Source organism: Homo sapiens, chromosome 14 (genome assembly GCF_000001405.40).
Source record: "Homo sapiens chromosome 14, GRCh38.p14 Primary Assembly".
Classification (NCBI taxonomy): Eukaryota; Metazoa; Chordata; class Mammalia; order Primates; family Hominidae; genus Homo; species Homo sapiens.
This window is the reverse complement of record NC_000014.9, coordinates 99,633,885-99,650,971: the sequence shown is the minus strand read 5'-3', so window position 1 is coordinate 99,650,971 and position 17,087 is coordinate 99,633,885. Positions and strand designations below refer to the sequence as shown.

General features: G+C 52.8%; 1 protein-coding gene across 7 annotated transcripts in view; it reads right to left on the bottom strand.

Moving 5' to 3' along the window:
• The window catches only part of HHIPL1 (HHIP like 1), a 76,032-nt gene that overhangs the window by 29,598 nt on the left and 29,347 nt on the right, over positions 1–17,087 (bottom strand). For 2 of the 7 annotated variants that reach the window (XM_011537237.3, NM_032425.5), the window contains exon 1: positions 5,510–5,862. The exons of 3 other annotated variants lie outside the window; for them this stretch is intronic. In XM_011537237.3, the coding sequence (XP_011535539.1) occupies positions 5,510–5,764 (255 nt within the window). In that variant the 5' untranslated portion in view covers positions 5,765–5,862. Of the gene's footprint in view, positions 1–5,116; positions 5,284–5,509; positions 5,863–17,087 lie in introns of those variants that run through there. 2 more of the 7 variants (XM_017021707.3, NM_001127258.3) reach the window with 2 other exon arrangements.

Below are 17,087 nucleotides of genomic sequence, written 5' to 3'. Positions count from 1 at the left end.
CAGCCAGGTATTTCTTTATAGCGATGAGAGAAGAGACTAATACATACTCCCTGCCATTTCACACCTCTGAGCCTCAGCACAGGCTGTTCCCTTTGCAGGCATGCCCTTTCCCTGCTCTTCTCTGGCAGGCAGAATTCTCTTTATTCTTAAATCATGGCCATGGCCGTGGGGGAAGCCATGCTAACCAATCACAGCAGCTCCTGGGGTTTGGGGCAAATTGTGGACCAGGCACCAGGGCAGTGTGCCCATGAATCTGCATTTCCTCCTCAAGGCAACCATGGGAGGGAGGCCTGTTCTTATTACCACTGCACAGAGGTGGAAGCAGAGACAGCAGAAGGGAGCCCAAAGTATCATGTCACATGCCAGTGGGCTGGGGTTTGAGCCACGTCTGCTCAGCTCTACTGGCCAGCTCCCAACTACCCATCCCCAACGCCAGTTAAGTGTCCCCACACCACAGCACCCTCCCTGCACCCTACCCCTACAGCTCCAGGCTGTCTGCGGGCCTCCCTGTTAGAGCCGCCGGCCTGTGGCGTGGTCATTCTTTCTATCTGTGACTGACACCCTCCCCCACCTGTGAGTCCACCAGGCCAAGCCTGGGTCTGAGTCAGCTCTGGGCCCCCAGAGCTTCGGGGGATGCTCCTTCTGCAGTGGGGAGGTACTGACAGCCACACACTCCCTCCCCTCACAGGGAGGACCAGGCTGGGTTCCAGCAAGAGGCCTCTGGGACGTTTGGGGGAGGATTGGGGATGGGGGATGGCAGGCTGCCTCCCGGGGTGTTCTCAAGCCCCAGGCCAGGGCCCACTCACTCCTGTGACATGATTGTGGCTTTTGGTCATACCACAGCATGTCCTCCTGGCCCCTCTACTGCTGTGAGGCTAGGTCTCACCTGACTGGCCAAGGGCCACTTGGCAGAATGTCTTGGGGTCCTGGTCAGTTACTGTCCCAGGTACAGACCAGGGTGCCATGTCTTACATGCTCCCCTCTGCCAGTGAGCAGGCCAGATGGCCAGGCCTCAGGCCGCCGTGTGTGCTGTCCCTCCCATGGTTCACTGGGAACCACCTGTGGGTCAGCCGGCAGCTGCACGTGGACCAGGGAGGGGCTGTGTGCACACGTGCCTTCTTTCATCTCTGCAAGGTAGGGTCATTGTCACTATTTTATTTTATTTGTTTATTTTTTGAGACAGGGACTCTCTCTGTCATCCAGGCTAGAGTGCAGTGGCACAATCCTAGCTCACTGTAGCCTTGACCTCCTGGGCTCTAACGATCCTCCCCACCTCAGCCTCCAGAGTAGCTGGAACCACAGACGTGCTCTACCACACCCGGCTAATTTTCATTTTTATTTTTTGCAGAGACAGGGTCTCTCTATGCTTCCCAGGCTTGTCTTGAACTCCTGGGCTCAAGCAATCCTCCCGCCTTGGCCCGCCAAAGTTCTGGGATTATAGGCATGAGCCACCGTACACGGCTTGACTCCTATTTTATAGATGAGGAACTGAGACTTAAAGAAGGCCACGTGCCAAGAAGTAGCCAAACCAGGGCTCACACCCAAGCCTCATGATGCCTGGACTGGTGTTCTTTCCAGATTAGTCAGCAACATTTCATTCACCAAGAATTTACTGAGCAGAGATTGTACCAGGCACCATCTTGGTTCCAGAGACGCAGTGAGGGGCAGAACAGACATCTGGAAGGCAACGAGAGCCCTCCGTTCACCAAAGCCCAATCCAGAACTACAGAGGGAGCAAAAGTTCCCTCAGGGAGCCAGGCCGAAGACCTCGGCATCCGTGCGTCCCAATCACACAGCAGATGCTTCCTCGTGGCCTATGTACTCTTACTTACACACGACGTAAATGTGGTGCCCAGACCAGGGTAGTCCAGAGCTAGGAAGTGACAAGAAGACATAGTGATTGCTGCTGGCAAGAGGATGATCCGCAGCTTGGCCTCAGTGTGTTTAGGGGCAGGTGGCAGGAAGGCCATAGGAAACCAGCCCAGTATCGCAGGCTTCAGCCGCCCGGGCCATTCAGTGCAGGGCGGAGGGCCCCCATCTTGCCCAGAGTTTGCCACCCCCATGTCACTGACACTCGTGACTCATGGCCCTGGGTCCTGAAGGTTTCTTATGTCCACCGTTCATTTTTTGAAAGAGCAAGCCTTTGCACAGTGTCCTGTCCATCGGATATTTGCTTCTCACCTACTTCCTCATCTGGCAAACTGCTATTCATGACTCAAGGCCTACTCAAAGGTCTCCTCTTGTCCTCCATGCTCCCAGGGCTCTGACTGTCCCATCCCTGGCCCTTATGGATGCTCCCAATGCACTCTGTCCATATCTCAGACACGACACTCACTCCATTGAATCTTGTAGCTTACAGGGTGAGTTCTCTACAGCAGTCACTGCTCCGTCGCCAGGGGCGCTCCAGCCAGTCAGCTTGGCTAGGACTTCATTATCTCTTTGCATGTCTGTCCACTCCACGGACTGTGGGACACAGTGGGGCTTCAAGGAGGGAGGCAGTGTGGCAAAGCGGTTAGGAGAATGGCTTTGGAGCCAGCGCACACATTCCCCATGGGGAATGCTCCTTAACCTCTTACTGCTCTTAACCGTGGGCAAGCTCCTTAACCTCTCTGTGCCTATGTCCTCATCTGTGGAAGGGGAAAGGAATTCCAACCTCATAGAGTTGTTGGGAGGAACAAATGGAGAAGATGTATGTGTTTGTTCAGTAAATAATGAGCTATCAACATGCAACCAACATTCAGGAAGCCTTCCCTGAGGTATGTGGCCTTGTTCCTACACTCCTTGAGGAATTTCTGGCACCTTCCTGTGTGTGTCAGTCTCCTGAAGTGATGAAGGGGATTTTTGAGACTGGGCCTGTGACTTGCCAACTGTTTTTGGGCCCAGCATCCAGCACAGGGCTGCCTCCTAACAGGCTCAGGAAGAGCCTGCTGAATACATGAGCCCATAGAATACATTTCATGGAGATCTCCATCAGAAACCATGCTTTGATGATTTTAGTGGCTTAGAGAGGCAACCCCAGTCACAGGGGAGGTTAGCGATGTGGAAGCTCACACCAGATGCACTGGGGATGCCACGTGCCATGGCTGTCCTCTCTCCTCCAGAGGACACAGGCACTTACTGGACAAGCAAAGCCTCAGGAAAGAGTCTCCCATCCCCCCAAAGCAGGTGTGAAGGCCTGAGTGCCTCCACACTGACAGAGACCTATGAATAAGGCACCTCCACCACCTCCCCGTGTGGAAATCAGGAGGTGCCAAATGCAGACTCTGCCTTGGCTAGCAGAGAGCATGGTCCTCCCGCCAGCATGCTCCAGGAGGCCCCGTCAGTGAAACCATAACCCAGCCTCAGCCGCCGTCTCTAAGCTCACTCCAGACATGAGGTCACTCTCAGAGACGCCTGGGCTGAAGTGTTAGTGGTCACTCCTGCTAACTGCTGGTTGCTTAAAGCCAGGCTGTCCTGGGAAGTTTCCCAAGAAACCTGCCAGGGGACAGCATCAGGACTGACCCTTCCCTTCCTCCATCCACCTGCCCACCTCACTGCCGTGCTGAGCCTGGCACATAGCAAGTGCTCAATAGACAAATGTGGCATGGATGCAGGAACTCTGCTATGTGATGGGGGTAGGGAGACCAAAGGACCTGGTCCTGAGGAGCCCCCAGGCTGGTGAGGGAGGCAGACGCTTGGCCAGACCATTCCCGTGCCCTTGAGGTGTACAGCATGGGAGTCCAGCAGAGCCCACCTAAAGGTGGCCAGCCCACCCTCTGTTGCATTCTGGAGCTCCCCAGGGCCCCCTCCTCATCCTCCCAGAGTCTACTGCTTCCCACCTAAGATATGAGCTCGCTTCAGCGAGTGTGGTCCATGTCCCCACCTCAACCACCGCTGGGCTGTGCGACCACTGGGCAAGTCCCTGCCTGCCTCTGAGTCTTCCTTGATTCGGGCTCCAAGCCTCACCTGGACCCTTCCCAGGGCTGGGCAGCCAGTGAGGGCCAAGGAAGCCCTCGAGAAATCCAACTGCAAACACTTACCGAGCCCCTAGTATGTGGCATTTAATCTGCATGGCCACCCAGGGGGGTGGTTAAGGTTTTATTTTATTTATTTTATGTATCATATTATATCATATTATATTATATTATATTATATTATATCATATCATATCATATCATATCATATCATATCATATCATATTATATTATATTATATTTTTGAGACGGAGTCTTGCTCTGTTGCCCAGGCTGGGGTGCAGTGGCTCAATCTTGGCTCACTGCAACCTCTGCCTCCCAGAGTCAAGTGCTTCTCCTGCCTCAGCCTCCCGAGTAGCTGGGATTACAGGAGCTCCCCAACATGCCCAGTTAATTTTTGTATTTTTGTAGAGATGGAGTTTCGCCATGTTGGCCAGGCTGGTCTCGAACTCCTGACCTCAAGTGATCTGCCCACCTTGGCCTCCCAAAGTGCTGGGATTACAGGCATAAGCCACCATACTCAGCTTCATTTTAAAGATATTGTGAGGTGCAGCAGTGACCTGCCCAGGTCACGAAGCTGGGGAAGTGACAGAGCCAGGATCAAACTCCAACTCCAAGTCAGCCTTCTTGCCCTTCCCCACACCACCTGCCCCTGCTGGCCGAAGGCTGGGACACGGCCCTGGCCCCTGGGGCCTCTCCACCCCAGGCCTCTCACTGCCCAGATGCTGAGGCAGGAATGCCTTGGGGCTGCCCGTCCTGCTCCATTTCTGCATTCAGCCAGGCAACATTTGCCCACTTGGGTGTGGTCAGGCCCTGGGGCCTCAGACTCCCACAAGAGGAAAACAAATAGCGGTGGCACCACCAGGTGTGCACAGAAGCAGGGGCTCCACCCTCAGAGGGAAGATGGGGGGCCCAGGGGCTTCAACAAAGAGCTGTCGCTCAGTCTTGAGAGAGCTTCTGCAGGCCAGGGCGCCATCCCCAGGAGAGGGCACAGCACCCACAGAGGTGGTGGCGGAAGTGGCAAGGGCATCAGGATGGGGGTGAGACGCTCGTGGGGGACAGTGGCCCCAACCCCCTCAACAAACCCGGGCCACACGTTGACCACGCCCACGCCAGGGCCCCCTGCTTTCACTGCCCCGGGGACAACACAAAGGAGCACTGACCGGGACAGATGCCTCTCCACCTTGGTACCCCGACAAGGGTGCAGCTGCTCGGGGTGGGACGCTGAGGGGTCGACTCCAGGGGACTGGGGCAGAAGAGCCCCCAACCTCTGAGGAAATGATGACATCATCTGTCCGTCCGTCCGTCCTTCCTGCTTCAGGAGGGGAAACTGAGGCCCCGAGAAGGCCCAAGTCACAAAACTAATGAATGGCAAAGCCAAGAGTCGTCCTGGGATGCGCGGTCTCCCCGCCCCGTGCCAAATGACTCCCTGTTGGGGCTTAGAGTTCCCGAGTCCGCCGCCCACTCTTGGCCCTCGCCCCCGCGGGGTTCCGATCTCTGCTCCAGGACTCGGCCTCCCGCGCCCCGCCCCGCCCGGTGGCCGCGCGCCCGCTCACCTGGCACAGCAGGTCCCTCGCGTAGCCGGCGCACGCGGCCCACTCGGCGGCGTCCACGCGGCTCGCCAGGGCCCAGAAGCGGCGGGTCAGCTCGGCGTCGCGCCCCTCATCGCAGCAGCCGAAGTCCGAGTACTGCGCGCAGAGGCGCAGCGGCTGCGTCGGCCGGAAGGGCGGCCTGAAGTCCAGGCACTGCGGATGCGCGGCGGCCCCGAGCACCCAAAGCGCCAGCAGCGCCCCGGCCCTGGCCCGGGCCATCGCTACGCCCCGCGGGGGAAGAGGCGGAGGGACGGCAGCCCCGGTCCCCTCCCGGGGCGCTCGCGGCGGCAGGGAAGGGGCGGGCGCTCCCCTTCCCTACACGCAGGGCCTCGAGTTTGGGGACCTCCCCTTCTAGGAGGTCACCTCTGGTCGGGGACACTCGGCGGGACTGAAGGAAGAGGGACGCGGCGCAGAATGCGGCACGACCTCTTTTAACCGCTTTCCAAATTCGATGGGAGTGGCCCGGTCTGTTTAAAGCCCCGGTGTGTTTTCCCGGTTCCGCCTGGGGCCCTGCTTCCTCCCCACAGGGCGCTCTTTAGCCAGGGAGGCGCAGGGCCAGAGGCCTGGACTCCTGGGCTTCGGTTCCACCTCCCACTGGGCTAGGGAAACGGATGCCCGCAGCCCGTCCCCGAAAGCTCCCACGTAACATTTTAAAAATGGGGGTGCGAGGGAAAGAACAGGGGGTGTTGCCCCAGGACTCTCAGGGAGAAGTGAAACCTGGCGTAGGGGTGGGGAGGGAGGACGGAGCAGTCTCCGCAGTCCACCCTTTGCCCTTACTGTGGGCTTCTTCCCAGTCTCTGCTCCTGGGGCAGCGGATTCTCCTGCAGCCCAGGACCCACTGGGGCTCCCCACTTCCACTCTCGCATAGGGAGCACTGATGAATCTACCTCCTGGGATGGGCATCCAGCCCTTTGTTCCGCTGCCCCCGCTGGAGATTCAGACCCAACCCCGCCCCACCCCCCCACACACATACAGACGCACACACGCTGTCTTACCTACCCCAGAATCTCATGGCACCAAAACCACCCACACAGACAAACACACACACACTGTCTCACCTACCCTAGAATCTCACAGCACCAAAACCACCCAGGCATTTTTCTCAAGTGGACCTCAGCGTTTGCTTCTCCCTGGAGTGTCCTTCCCCATCTTCTCTGTCCAGTGAGCTCCTACTCCATCTTCATGGCCCCAACGCACACATCCGTCCTCTGCAGGTCTCTTTGGACTGTCCTGGGGGATCATGTTTCTGTCTTTGGGCCCATGCTCCTGGCAGAGCTGGGGGTGGATGAGATGCGGCAGGGCTGGAGCACTCAGAGGTCTGTGGCTCTGGCCTGAACAGGTGCAGTGTAAGAGTCAGGGTCTCCGCACAGCCAAACATCTCTGAGTATTTGAAACACGGGGAATTTAACGCAGGGACTTGAAGCCAAAGAGGCTAAGAAGCCATACAGGGCTCAGTGAAGTAACCTTGAGATCAGCAACAGTAGGAACAGTCCCCAGGTCCTTGATGCAGGAAGAGCAGATGTTACTGGAGCCAAGGAGCTATGGTCACCTTGTCAAAGCTGGACCCTCACAAGGCCTGTCTGGCCACAGCTGGAGATAGCCACTGTCAGAGATTCTGCACAGACAGAGGAGGAGAAATACCCCGGCTTCTCCCTGCCACTTCCCCTCCAACTCCCACCTGTGGCTTTCATTGGCTGAACCTAGCAGAGGGCTGCTAGGGTGGGAAATGCGGCCTGCAACGGCTTCCTGCACAGACAGCTGGGAATAGGCAGAGCCAGGATGGAATCGGAGGGCACGATGGCGCCTACTTCCCAGCTGGGACTCAGAACTGGGTGATAGTCACACATCAACACAGGGCTCCAGATGAGTGTACAGAGGTGGAAGTGACACAGAGCCTGGGCCACAGCCATGAGGTTTGGGCTCCTACAGCCACAGAAAATGTCAAACACAGCCCAGCCCCAGCCAGAGTAACATAAATCCTCACCCTAATACCTATTTACCTCGGTTTCTGTTATCTAGTACATCCTGATTGGCTTTCCAGAAAAACAACAAGGCATGAAAAAAAGATAAGAAAAGTCACAGTCAGGAGCCGGGCACAGTGGCTCACGCCTGTAATCCCAGAACTTTGGGAGGCTGAGGCGGGCGGATCACCCGAGGTCAGGAGTTCGAAACCAGCCTGGTCAACATGGTGAAATCTCGTCTCTACTAAAAATACAAAAATTAGCCAGGCGTGGTGGCACGCGCCTATAATCCCAGCTACTGGGAGGCTGAGGCATGAGAATCGCTTGAACCCAGGAGGCGGAGGCTGTAGTGAGCTGAGATCGTGCCATTGCACTCCAGCCTGGGTGACAGAGCGAGACTCTGTCTCAAAAAAGAAAAAAAAAAGTCAGTCAGAAGGAGCATCAGAGCCAGCCTGGGACATGACACAGATGCTGAAATTACCAGACATGGAATTTAAAATAACTATGACTAATATGTTAAGGGCTCTGGTGGAAAAAGTTGACAACATCAAGACCAAACATCTCTGAATATTGACAAGGACATTGGCAAGGACAAATGGGTAATAGAAGCAGAGAGGGGTCCACTTTAAGAAAAAAAATGAAGGCCGGGCACAGTGGCTCATGCCTGTAACCCCAGCACTTTGGGAGGCCAAGGTGGGCGGATCACGATGTCAGGAGATCGAAATCATACTGGCTAATACGGTGAAACCCCATCTCTACTAAAAATACAAAATTTAGCCGGGCATGGTGATGGGCGCCTATAGTCCCAGCTACTTGGGAGGCCGAGGCAGGAGAATGGCGTGAACCCAGGAGGCGGAACTTGCAATCAGCTAAGATTGCGCCACTGCACTCCAGCCTGGGTGACAGAGCGAGACTCCGTCTCAGAAAAAAAAAAAAAATTAAAAGATATATTAAAAGTCAAAAACAATGTAACAGAAATGCCCTTGCCGAGCTGACAAGTAGACTGAGACTGCCGAGGAGAACACCAGTGAGCTTAAAGATGCGTCAGCAGCAGCTTCTCAAACTGATACACCAAGAGAAAAACAGAAGTTACAAAAACAAACACTAGAGCATCCAAGGACTGTGGAACAATTTCCAAAGATGTAAATACAGATAACTTGAAAATGGGAAAGAGAAGAAGGGGAAAAAAATGGCAGAAGAAATAGTTGAAGTAAAAATGGCTGAAAGGGCAGGCACAGTGGCTCATGCCTGTAATCCCAGCACTTTGGGAGGTGGAGGCGGGCTGATCACCTGAGGTCAGGAGTTCGAGACCAGCCTGGCCAACGTGGAGAAACCTCGTCTCTACTAAAAATACAAAAATTAGCCAGGCATGGTGACGGGCGCCTGTAATCCCAGCTACTCGGGAGGCTGAGGCGGGAGAATCACTTGAACCCAGGAGGCAGAGGTTGCAGTGAGCCGAGATCACACCACTGCACTGTAGCCTGGGCCACAGAGCGAGACTCTGTCTCAAAGAAAAAAAAAAAGGCTAAGAATTTTCTGAAATTCATGACAGATACAAAACAACAGATCCAAGAATCTAAGAGGCATAAAGCAGGATAAATACCAAAAAATCAACAGCGAGGCATATCCTATGCAAACTGCAGACAACCAAAGATGAAGAAAAACCTTGAGAGAAGCCAGAGGGGGAAAAATACCTTACCTATAGAAGAACAAGGAGAAAAATTACAGCAAACATTAGAAACCAGGCAAGCAGGCCGGGCACGGTGGCTCACGCCTGTAATCCCAGCACTTTGAGAGGCTGAGGCAGGTGGATCACCTGAGGTCAGGAAGTCGAGACCAGCATGGCCAACATTGTGAAACCCCCGCTCTACAAAAATACAAAAAATTAGCCAGGCATGGTGGCGGGCACCTCTAACCCCAGCTACTTGGGAGGCTAAAGCAGGAGGATTGCTTGAACCTGGGAGGTGGAGGTTGCAGTGAGCTGGGATTGCACCATTGCTCTCCAGCCTGGGCAACAGAACGAGACTCTGTGAAAAAAAAAAAAAGAAAGAAAAAGAAAGAAACCAGGCAACCAAGAGACAGTACAGTGAAATCTTTAAAGTGGTAGAAGAAAAAAATAGAAATAAAAAACCCATCAACCTAGAAGTCTAGATCCAGTGAAATTATCCTTCAGGAGTGAAAAAGAAATGAAAGCTTTGCCAGAAAAACAAAAATGGGAGAAATTCATCACCAGCAGATCTGCCCTACGAAAACAAAAAAGCATTAAAAGAAGTTCTTCAGGCCAGGTGCAGTGGCTCACACCTGTAATCCCAACACGTTGGGAGGCTGAGGCGGGTGGATCACCTGAGGTCAGGAGTTGGAGACCAGCCTGGCCAACATGGCGAAACCCAGTCTCCACTAAAAATACAAAAATTAGCTGGGTGTGGTGGCGGATGCCTGTAATCCCAGCTACTGGGGAGGCTGAGGCAGAAGAATTGCTTGAAACTGGGAGGCGGAGCTTGCAGTGAGCCAAGATCGCACCATTGCACTCCAGCCTGGGCGAGAGAGAGATACTCTATCTCAAAAAAAAAAAAAAAAAAAAAAAAAAAGAAGAAGAAGTAAAGAAGTTCTTCAGGGAGAAAGAAGATGATATAGGTCAGAAATTCAACGTACTGGATGGTTATAGCACATGGATGGGTGAAATGGATGACAGCAATGTCATAAGAGATGGGAGGAAGGAACTGGAAATTCTGTTATAAGTTATCACACTACACATGAAGTGGTATAGTGTTATTTGAAGGTAGACTTTTATTAGGAAAAAAATGTATTTCCTCTGTAGTATCTGCTCAAATTTTTCTGCAAATCTAAAATGGTTCAAAAAGTCTATTAATTAAAAAAACCCAGCTGGGCACAGTGGCTCACCCCTGATATTCCAGCACTTTGGGAGGCCAAGGCAGGCAGATTGCTTGAGCCCAGGAGCTTGAGACCAGCTTGGGCAGCATGGCAAAGCCCTGTCTCGACAAAAAATACAAAAATTAGCTTGGCGTGATGGTGTGCAACTGTAGTCCCAGCTACTTGGGAGGCTGAGGTAGGAGGATTGATTGAACCTGGGAAGTTGAGGCTGTGGTGAGACAAGACTGTGCCACTGCACTCTAGCCTGGGTGACAGAGCAAGACCCTATCTCAAAAATAAATAAATAAAAATTTTAAAGTTTTAAAAACCACATAAACAAAATATGTGTTGCATACTCTAGCCCAACCATTAAAATAATTGTAAAAGAAATATAATTGATATGCTTTAAAAGAAGGTAAAATGAAATCATACTAATAAATGCTCCATTTTTAAAACCAGAGAAGGCAGGTAAGAAAAGGGAGGCAGGACCAAAGAACAAGTATAATCAATAGAAAAGAGTTATACATATTGTAGATGGTAATCCATCTCTATCAACAATCACTTTAAATCTGAATGATTGGAATAGATCAATTAAAAGACATAGATTGTCAGAGTGAATTAAAACATAAGGCCTAGGCGGGGCATGGTGGCTCACGTCTGTAATCCTAGCACTTTGGGAGGCCGATGTGGGAGGATCACGAGGTCAGGAGTTCGAGACCAGCCTGGCCAATATGGTGAAATCCAGTCTGTACTAAAAATACAAAAATTAGCCGGGCGTGGTAGCGCGTGCCTGTAGTCCCAGCTACTCAGGAGGCTGAGGCAGAAGAATCTCTTGAACCCAGGAGGCAGAAGTTGCAGTGAGCCGAGATCACACCACTGCACTCCAGCCTGGGCAACGCAGCAAGACTCCATCTCAAAAAACAAAAAAACAAACAAAAAAACAAGGCCTACCTGGTATGGTGGCTCATGCCTGTAATCCCAGCACTTTGGGAGGCTGAGGCAGGCAGATTGCTTGAGCCCAGGAGTTCAAGACCAGTATGGGCAATGTGGCAAAACCTTGTTGCTACAAAAAATCCAAAAACATTAGCTGGGTGTGGTGGTGTGTGCCTATAGTCCCAGCTACTCTCGAGGCTGAGGTGGGAGGATTACTTGAGCCCAGGAGGTCGACGCTGCAGTGAGCCATGATCACTGCACTTCAGCCTGGGTGACAGTGCGAGACCCTGTCTCAAAAAAATAATAATAATAAAATAAAAATAAACAACCAAGGCCCAACTATATTCTGTCTACAAGAAATCCACTTTAAATGTAAAGACTGATAGTTGAAAAACAAAGAGATGGAGAAAGATACACCATGCTACCTTGAATTAAAATAAAGCTGGAGTCACCACATTCATTTCAGATGAAGCAAACCATAGTGATATAGAAGCCAGAACCCGGTTCCCCGGTCTCCACCAGTTAGGCAGCTCCCTGAAGGCAGGGGCCCGGCTGTTGAGCTCCCAGGGTATGACATCTGGCACGTGCTAGGCATCTTATTATTTGTAAGAACAAATAAGCACATGAATGGACAAAAGGATGAATGAGTGAATGAGTGAAAGGATGAGGGAATGAATGAATGAATGATCAAATGCTCTGACTTGGCTATTTCTATGGCCTGAGCTCCTGCCACAGCTGGACAATTCCACCAAATGCCATCTGGAGCCAGAGGTGCTTGTGTGGCGGTGGGATGTGCACCACCAGGGCAACAAAGACAAAGCTAGTCCTTTGGGCCGAAGGTGCCTCACACTCCATCTAATGGAAATGCAGCTTCGGAAGCCAGGCCTGGGGCTGAGAAGTGTCCCAGTTTTCTTCAGCAAATGATTCAGGGCCCACAAAGGCTGCCTGGCACAAGGGAGCCGCCTGGCCCTGCTTCAAATTCCCCATTAAGGACTCTCCCTCAACCCAACCTCTGTTTCCCTATCTCTTGAGTGGGAGTGGGGAAGAGGTGAGACCAGGCCTTTGCTGGCCCCTCTGGGGCCTGAGGGTGTGGGGTCCAGGAGCATTGCCCACGTTTCCAGGAGCCCGGCAGGCATCATCGGCTGCCACTATCAGGGCACATAGGCCAGTGGACACCCAGCGCCTCTCTGGCCAGACTGGGTCGGTATGGGCACCTACGCATCGGCTCCAGCAGACCAGGCTCTGCTAATTCCATGGTTTTGCGTCCCTTCTACAGAAAGACTGGGAAGGCCTCGGGGCAGCCTCTTCCCCGACAGGCCGCCTGTCCCCACTGTCTTGAGAAGAACCGCCAAGGTGTTGGTGAATCTGTTCTCCGCAGGGCCCAGGCCTCCTCCGCCACTCTTAGCTGCAGCGGGAGAATGTGCCAGGACCCATCTCGTGAGTGCTGGGGAGTGAGTGAGCCATTGCTCTGCCACTCTGGTAGCCGGGATACCTGTGTGGTATAGATCATGGCCAGGCAAGGGGCCAGCGCAGACCTCAGGCCAGAGCCAGCCTTCGTAAACATCCTTATGGAAAAATTACCAAGAACAGAAGAAGGAACACCCAGGAACACACCACCAGACTTCACCCGTGCTAACATTTGACCACGCTCCCTTTAGGTGTCTGAAATCCTTTTTAAAACACGAAGAACTGTGTGCCTCAGTGTGAGAGGCGATGTGGGTTGGTCATGAAGAGCAGTGGGTTCGAGTTCTGGCTCTGTAACTTACCAACTGTGTGGCCTTGGACAGGGCCCTTGACCTCTCTGGGCATTGGTTTTCTCATCTGTTAAATGGGAGTGATCAATGAGGCCATTGGAAGAGTGCCTGGCGTGTAGTATGTGCTCAAAAAACAGGAGCTATTACAGGCCCAGTGAGCTCCTGACACCATGGCCTCACGTGAGCCTCAGAACCTTTTCCTCTGCTCAGGGAACATTCTCCTGAAGGCGACTGTGTGCAGGTTCCACAGAGAAGACAGATCAGCATCTGGCATGTTCTTAAACTTTCTATAAATGGTCTCTTGTGACACTTTTCTTTCTTTCTTTTTTTTTTTTTGAGACGGAGTCTTGCTCTATTGCCCAGGCTGGAGCACAGTGGCACACTCTCAGCTCACTGCAACCTCCGCCTCCTGGGTTCAAGCAATTCTCCTGCCTCAGCCTCCCAAGTAGCTGGGATTAGAGGCACCCGCCATCACGCCCAGCTGATTATGTTATTTGTTTTTTGTTTTAGTAGAGACCGGGTTTCACCATGTTGGCCAGGCTTGTTTCAAACTCCTGACCTCAAGTGATCTGCCTGCCTCGGCCTCCCAAAGTGCTAGGATTACAGGCATGAGCCACTGCACCAGCCTCTTGCCACACTTTTTCTTTCTTTCTTTCTTTCTTTCTTTCTTTCTTTCTTTCTTTCTTTCTTTCTTTCTTTCTTTCTTCCTTTCTTTCTTCCATTCTTTCTTTCTTTCTTTTTCTTTCTTTCTTTCTTTCTGCCTCCCTTTCTCTCTCTCTCTTTCTTTTCTTTCTTTCTTTCTTTTTTCCTTCCTTCTTTCTTTCTTTCTCTCTCTTTCTTTCTTTTTTCCTTCCTTCCTTCTTTCTTTCTTTCTTTCTTTCTTTCTTTCTTTCTTTCTTTCTTTCTTCTTTCTTTCTTCTTTCTTTCCTTTTTTTTTTTCAGCAGGATCTTTCTCTGTCACCCAGGCTGGAGTACAGTGGTGCAATCACAGCTCACTACAGGCTCAAGCAATCCTGCCTCAGCCTCCCAAGTAGCTGGGACTACAGGCATGCACTTCCATGCCCGGCTAATTTTTTATTTTTTTGTAGAGATGGGTCTTATTGTGTTGTTCAGGCTGCTCTCAAACTCCTGGGCTCAAGCAATTCTCCCCCCTCGGCCTCCCAAAGTGCTGACATTACATGCATGCACCACCACGCCTGGCCTCTTGCTGCACTTTTCTTTTTGTAACTTCCTTCTTTCCCCTCCATCTGGTGTTGGAGATTCGTCTACACTAAAGGGCAATTCACTCCATTTAACTGCTGTCTAGAACTCCACTCTCTAAGCAGTGCCACCGTCTGTAGATCTTGCAAGTCACCAAAAAGCAGCTCAGACTGTCCCTGAAGTCCTGCCTGCTTGACAATCTGCTGGTCTGTCTTCAAAACATCTATTTTAAAATTAAAACTTGGAAAAGGAAAAAAACAGAAGACAGAAATGGGCATTTATTAAAGACCCACAACCGTGCTAGGAGCTTTGCCTGTGCCACGTCATGCGGGCCTCATGTCAGCACCAAGTCCCAGTGGGACCCCGTGGACCAGGAGGTCACCTTTCCCCAGATGCTGCCCCACCCCCACCCATGTGCCAACAGAACTCCACCCCCAGGTCTCTCCAGGTATTTCTGAGTCTCCAGGGGTCATACACGGACTCAGCGGCAAGTATTCCGAAGCCTCCATGACATCCCTTCCCACTCACACCCACCACCTGGGCCAGTCATTCCCCACCACATGCAGATGAAGAAGCTGAAGCACAGAGAGGTGACAACAGCTAGTCATAATCAGGTCACAGAGTGGAGGGGTCCGGATTTGAACCCAGTGCCCCGTGGCTCCAGAGGCAGAGACTCTTCCTGAAGCCACAAGTGGAGTTGGTGGCAGTGGAAGGCTAGAACCCAGGGCTCCTGACTCCCAGGGCAGTGCTCTGGCCGAGACCCTCTGAGACCGATGCACAGTAGGACTCCTGCTCCACGTTTCAGCCTTATTGAAGGCACGAGATAACTTTGCATGGAAACGCATTTATATATGTGTGATTAATTTGAAAGAGAAGTACCAAGCCATAGCCCAGCAATCCCCTGCCTCCAGAGGCTGGTGATGCTGATCAACCCTAGCAGGTAGCTCTCTCTGTCTCCCCATGTCCCTCCTGAGCTGCAGGGCCTGGACTGCCTTGTGTCTGTGGGCCTGCGTGCAGCCTCTTGCAAGTAGGAAATGAATGAATGAATGAATGAATGAGATGGGCTCACCACTGCAGGGAAGATTGGGGAGGGTGAAAGGGGAGCCTGACTCTTGCTAACCACAGAACTAATGATGCCTTCAGAGGAGGAGACCCCAGAGTCTAACCCCTGACGGCCCAAGCAGGGAAACTGAGGCCCAGGGAGGAAAAGGCCCAGCCCCACTTTCCTGTGGATGCTCTGAGGGTCACTTTCCTTTCCTGGAAGTTTTTCCCTGCCACCCCCACCCCGCATCTGATTCCCCGGCTTCTCAGTCCAAAGCCACTAGATTCTTCACAGCAGGGGCAGGGACAGGGCACTCCCTACACTGTGAGATTATTTCCCAGGAAGCACCCCACCTGTCCAAACTCTTCAACTGCTTTGCCCCTAAGTCCCACTCAGGACGGCAGGCGGAGGGCCCTGGCTCTCCATGTTCCCTGGACGCCCCAACTGTCCGGCAGCCAGTATTTCCCTGGGGCTGTCCTATCGGGGCCTCAGGGATACTTCCTCCCTGGGACCTCCACCCCTGCAGACCCCAACTCTACCTCCAGCTCGTTGAGTGTCCCTCCCCTGCCCCCACCCCAAACCCACTAGATCCTTTCTGGGTCACCACTGAAGACCGCCAATGGGGATTTGCTTCAAACTTGCCCCTCGGAGGGGAGGTAGTGACTGGGGGTAGGGACACAAGACCAACCTCACGTTGCTGACAGGCGGCGTGGGTGAAGGAGATGGGGGGCTCATTACACTGCCCTCCAGTCTGTGTGTGTTTGAAGTTTCCTGTCAGAGGAAGTTTGAAAATCAATTCATCAACAAAAAGAAACCAATGAAAAACAACAGCACTCCCGCTGCGGACTGCCAGCCTGGCTCTCGGCCTGCCTTCCTCCCCTGACTTGCCATCGCTGCCTGACCACGTTCCCCCAGCTAGATGGTCCTGGGGCCAAATCCACCATCTTTCTAACTTACTGCGTGACCCTAGAGAAGGCCCTGGCTGAGCCCGTTTCCTTATCTGCACCACAACCGTGTGGCCCAGCTGTTCTGGGAGATGCCGATTTCAAACATTCTAACACTTCCCATGCTCTGTCCTGTAAAATATGGTTTCTCAGTGCTCTTCCCAGGAGCTGGGGCTGCTTAGGGTGCTGTAGTTAGAGAAGTATGGGAAATGCCACATTCTAAGTCCCTCTCAGAGATTCAAGAAACAACTCTGCATGCTCTGAGAAGTCCCGCAGCCAAAGCCCGGTTCATTTATTTGCTCGAGTAAGACTTATTTTCCCCAGCACACCTGTGAACACTTCTAGCTCTACAACTAAATGAGAGCCGTCACGGGGGACTTCCTCATCTGGGTGGAGAAGAGTTAAATGGAAAATATAATGGAAAGGACCCCCCAGTGTGGGGGCTGACAGATGCCACCCCAGGCCCCAGGCATCTCCAGCCCCAGCCTCAATAGAAGTGCACACACTTGCACAGACACATACGTGCCCTCTCTCGCTGCTCAGAAGCCCTGAGGGAGACATGTCTACACACTCTGAGCTCAGGTCTCCAGGGGGACCTCGGCTGGGAGATTTTCCAGTGCCAACTGTGAGTGCTCGCGCCTCTGCAGAAACGCTCTGCAGCCTCCCTTTCCTCACCACCGAGTCTGGTGAGGACTGAACGGCAGCTTTGCTCCTGCCCCGCCAGGCTTCCACGTGTCCCTGGGCTACAGCCCTGCATGGAGACAGGCCCTGACTTCACACTCAGTGCTTTTCTCACACACCAGGGGCCTTCTGATCCTGTCCCGGACACGGGGGAGA